This window comes from Homo sapiens, chromosome 12, assembly GCF_000001405.40.
Source record: "Homo sapiens chromosome 12, GRCh38.p14 Primary Assembly".
NCBI classification, from domain to species: Eukaryota; Metazoa; Chordata; class Mammalia; order Primates; family Hominidae; genus Homo; species Homo sapiens.
In genome coordinates, this window is record NC_000012.12 from 98,217,787 (window position 1) to 98,223,055 (window position 5,269).

At 41.8% G+C, this 5,269-nt stretch overlaps 1 annotated feature.

Annotated features, from left to right (window-relative positions):
- Nucleotides 4,462-4,631: an enhancer, noted in NCBI's record as "experimental_31286 CRE fragment used in MPRA reporter constructs". NCBI's record gives its function as "activates a minimal promoter by MPRAs in K562 erythroleukemia cells, with activity observed for both the introgressed and non-introgressed 12:98616111 variant alleles {active_cell/tissue: K562}" and the evidence as "EXISTENCE:reporter gene assay evidence [ECO:0000049][PMID:34662402]".

Sequence of the window (5,269 nt, forward strand, 5' to 3'; positions counted from 1 at the left end):
TGGGATTACAGGTGTGCGCCACCACACCTGGCTAATTTTTGTATTTTTTAAGTAAAGATGGGGTTTCACCATGTTGGTCAGGCTGGGCTCGAACTCCTGACATCGTGATCCATCCACCTCAGCCTCCCAAAGTGCTGGGATTACAGGCGTGAGCCACCGAGCCCAGCCACTCTATCCTTTTTTAGATTTCCACAATGCAAACTATTCAGATGAAGGTCACTCAACTGAATAGTGCTTTAACTTTATATACATAAAAATTAAGTGTGGTCTTAGGTAAAATGACAGATAAGGTCATAAGTGTTTATGTTTCTTTCAAGCCTTGTGACCTTATCATTAAGTTCCAAATAACCTTTTGTCTCTAGGAGTGGTAATTTGGTTTGTTTGTTTATACTGTGAGGATCTGTATCTCTCCCTTTGGCCCAACTTATTAGTTTTAGCCATAAGCAGCAATCAGTGAAACATGAGGTTTTGTTATGAGATAGTTAATTCCAGTTTGGAACTCGTTGGTATTTTGGGAAATTTTTAAAATGTCAGCACATTTGCTTTTGGATCTATGAATATTATTTTGTTCTGGAAGCTCCTATTTAATGTGTGAGATTAATATTAGTTAGGGCATTGCCAAAGAAGAACACACTATCTTAATATAATAGGCAAAAAACAATAATTTCTCCTCCATATACTAAACAAGCTCTGATTTTTTTAATTAACTGACAAAACATCTAGGATCTAAGTGGTAAAATTAAGTTGGAATGTTTTAAGGAGGAAATGCACAGATTTTTTGTAGAATTTTTCTAGGATCAGTGATGTTAATGTGAAGTACGAACTCATAATGCTGATTTGGAGACCTCAATGCATTAAAATGTTGGGTGACAAGGCAGATTCTGTGGATGCTCCACCCATATCCTTCCACGCCATACCTTTTCCTTACGTACCAGCTTGATTTCTAAAGGCTGGCATTTGCGTCCCCTGCCTAAGAATTTTCTTTGGCTTTCTATACCTTTTCTCCCCGAACACACAGAAGTGTCAGGAAATTTACACCTCTGGGAGCAGCCCTCAACTAAGGATAGGAATTGGTACATAAATACCCCAACTCCAAAACCCCACAGGATGACTCTGAGGTGCATGTCTTATACTGGCTTCTACCGTGGCCCGGGGATGTTCCAGGTTCTCACAGTGGTAACTTGCCTGACAATATATTCTTTATTAGCTGTGTCTCAATTCTCTACTCTCTAATCAGTGTACCCTGGGATCACCTTCCAAGTAATCTACTTGCATTTCCAGGAGACCAGAAACATGCCACCCCAAAATACGCCTCTTCTGGTGTAAGGATTATGATCTGAGACCATTCGAAGCAACAAATACAGGAAAGCTCTCTGTTCTCCCTCTATTTGCGTAAAAGCAGGACACAGATTTACAAAGACAAAAGATGTCCTGGCCCCCGTTTCTACCAGGAAGAACAAACGTTGGCCACTGAAGAACTTTAGACCCTTATCAGCCTAGAGATGGTACCAGAGGAATATCTATTAACCAGCTTTACTAACAAGCCTTTATCTGCCAGTTATTTGCCTTCCCCAAGTTGCTGCCCCCCAGAAACTCAAAATCCTTTCCTTTGTGTTGTTCCTTCTCTAAAAAGGTAACTGTTCTTTGTTGAAGATGTTACCTAAGCTGGAATTCAAAGCCACCTCTTTGAGAACTACTCATTTCCTGGGTGTCTCCCATCTACATAAAATATGTATGTTAATAAACTGTTTTTCTCTTATCTGTTACAGGGGTCTATTCCAACCAAGAAATTATGACGGTTGAAGAAACAATCATTTTTCTTTCCTACACATTTGAACTCTTATATCAGAATCTGCTTCAGAGAGAACCCAAACTGAGACAGCTGCCTTCATTTGGGGCTTAGCCGTAAGTCAGCCAAGGCTGTTATTCATTCCTTTTTCAGGGAATATTTTTAGAGCACCTATGACATTCCAGGCATTGTTCTTTTAGACATCCAGCAGCGACCAACTAAACAAAAATCTTTGCCTTCATGGAGTTTACATTCTCATGCAAGGAGACAATAAACTACGTAAAATATATTGTAAGGCAGATTTTGATAAGTAGAGGAAAATAAAGCCAAGCTAGATAGGGAATGCCAGTGGGTGAAGTGTGCCATTATAAACAGGTAGCCAGTGAAGGCCCAAACAAGGGGGTAAAATGTGAACAAAGACTTGAAGGGGTTGAAGAGCAATCCGGGAAGGAAGAGCATTAGTCTAGGTGGGAGGAAACAAGTGCAGAAGGGACAGGAATATTCCAAACCAGTAAGGTCACTGGGGCTGGAACAGAGTGAAGGAGAGGGAAAGTGACAGGATGAGTCATATCTACTATTGTTAGGATTTACTGTTGTTATTTTTGTCAATATTACTATTTAATAGGCTTCGTTTGTTTTAGCATTTTCTTATGAAAATTACAGAAAAGTTACCAATTTTTTACAGTGAACACCCATCTACTCACCACCTGGATTCTACTATTTTGCAATACTTCCTTTTCATGCATCCATCCCTCTATCCATCTCACTATCCATTTACCAAGCCATCGTTTTTAACGCATTTCAGAGTAAATTGCAGAGATTTAGCAAATGCAGCCATTATGGAGATACGGTTTCTAAACCTGACAGCATTGCAAGGTAGATACTATCTCCCCATTTTACAGAGAAAGAAACTGAGACGCAGACACGCTGAATAACTCAGCTAAGGCAGTAACACAAACACATGGCTGAGTGGGGATTCCAGTGCAGGTCTATTGATGGCAGTGCTCATATTCTTTCCATGGTGAACCAACTGCCACTCTCGAACAGCGGATTAATGTGGAAGAACAGGCAAGGAGTTGGGAGTAGCTATACTTGTCTCTGAAGGAAGCTGTTTCCTTTCACTATTTCCTCTGCATCTGAAAGGCAAAAACCCAGCGACGTGCTGGTAAATGTTTACCACCCAGCTCTTTGGATAGAGGTGCAGAGACAAGGAAAGCCTTGTTTGCAACATTTGCCAATTTCTGTGGCATTAACATTCCTACCATGGCAGGTTTCAACCTACCAACCTGATGTCAGGTTGCAAGCTGGTATGAGCTGGCACCAGCACACCACTGTGGATTTTTCAGTGTCATACTGTAGTTAACAAGTATCACTTGTAACAAGTAACAAGCACCAGATTCAGGATCAACACCCAGTGTCTATATCCAGTGAATGCTCAGTAAATTTCAGTGGTGGTGAGGACAAAGATTGGCAGCCTCCTACCCACACCCAGCATCAGATATCTGGGCACATGCATACATGCACACGCACACACACACACACACACACACACACACACACACACACGCTTTCTTCCCAAGGTGGATAGTAGTATATTTGAATAATGAATACAGGACACTACATATAGCACATTTGTGTAAAGCAAACTTCTCCACAAAATGCAAATAAACCTCTTTCTCCATGTAATTCCCAGCTCTTGATCCACTGCTCTGGTTCTTCCCCCTCCGCCGCCCGCCCCCCACCCCCCAATCACCACTTCTACACCTCCCTGAACATTAACAATGCTTTTCTTTGGCAAGAACACCCTTGCTGTTCCCTGGCACCAGAGAACATCACATTTTTGCATGGGTTGAAATCATAAATCACTTAGAATGCAGACAACCTGTTGGAGAAGTTTGCCGTTCTTTTTCCTTCTTGAGCTTCCTTTGATTGAGATGTTCTTTCACCTTTGGAACATGTCCCAGGGCTGCTCCTGACTCATGCTGCGTGTTCCTTTTCATCATGCCAGCTGAAGACCCCCTGCAAGCCGGATTCCTTTTATCCCTCAACCCTAATTGTTCTCTGCCTTCTTCACTCAAATTTCCTTCTGCAGCCTTTCTCCAGGGGTCTCACACACCTCAGATAACATTCCTGACCCCATTAACTAAATCCCTCTGGTCTTTCAGTATTGACTGAGGCCACATGTATTGACCTTGGTAGGTGGTTCTAGGTTCGACTTTGCAAAGACGGGCTTTTCTGAGTTGACTCGTGGGTTATTTTCTCCTTCCCTATGACATCCCACCTTCACCCCAATTCCCTCCTATCCCATATTCTTACTCAATGCAGGCCACATCCCCAGCAGTCTGTAGCGCAAATAACAATCATCTCTAACAGAATTAGTGCGAACAAAGTCTGACACTTAGGACTTTAAAGCATTTTTTATAGTATGGCAAATCCGGTTACCATGCAACAAAGAACAGCTAACTGTTAAGAATTAATAATGAGAAATAAGTATAGATAATGGTTTAGCTGACACTGTCATATTTTAGTACAATATGTTCTGAAATATTTGCTCCTTTGGGTTGTGAATGTGCTATTTTTGTCACTAATAAGCCTATAGAAGCCTAGTGGAAATGAGAAGTTTTCTCAAGGAAAGTGAGGCATTCTGAGATTTCTCTGATAAGGGGAAAGGGTCAATGTGCCTGTAGTTTCTGTGCTTCATTAAAATTCTGCTTCCATACTGTATAATGTGAGTAATATTAATTTTCTAAACATTCGTGTAGAGCAGCTGCTAACTAATTTCCATAACAGTATTCCTATTCTACAGGCATTTTAAAAAGGGGAAAGAAGATGACTGCTGACTGTCTGCCAAAAAGAAAGGCTCAATCTAACCCAGTTCTGAATCATTCCAGACCGAAAGAAGGAAATCATTAGGGACATTGACTTCCCAGTCAGGGGACTGTCTGGAATTGAACAAACTGCCTTAGCCTCTGAGGATGGTGCACCTGGTATAAGCTGGGCACTCATTCACTGGGCAGTCCCCTTCCTCTAAATGCCTTCATGGTGGCCCAGTTCATGTGCCCTGGACTAGCTAATGATCAGAGCATTTCTGCAGCCCCTGTCATACTGGGTTCAGCTGCTTCCCCTTTCTTCCTGATCCATGCCACTGAAGTCCCAGCAAAACAAGTGTAGTTAAACCTGTCTAAGGTGTTTCAGGGATGGCAACGTACCTGGGAAACTTTGGACCCCTTGTATTTCACAAGCTTGCTCTCAGGGAATCCTCTACCCACTCTTCTCCAGAAAACACTGGGATGCCCAGCCTCACAGTCGGGATATAATTCCTAGTGTTATATACTTTCTCAGGCTGAACTTTTCCTTTCCTTCTATCTTGTACTAAGATGAATAACAACTAGTCTCATGAATTTGAATACTATTAAATCTTCCTCTAATTCTCTCCAGCAGTCCTGTCCTTTGGGGGATATTTTCCAACTCTGCATTCAT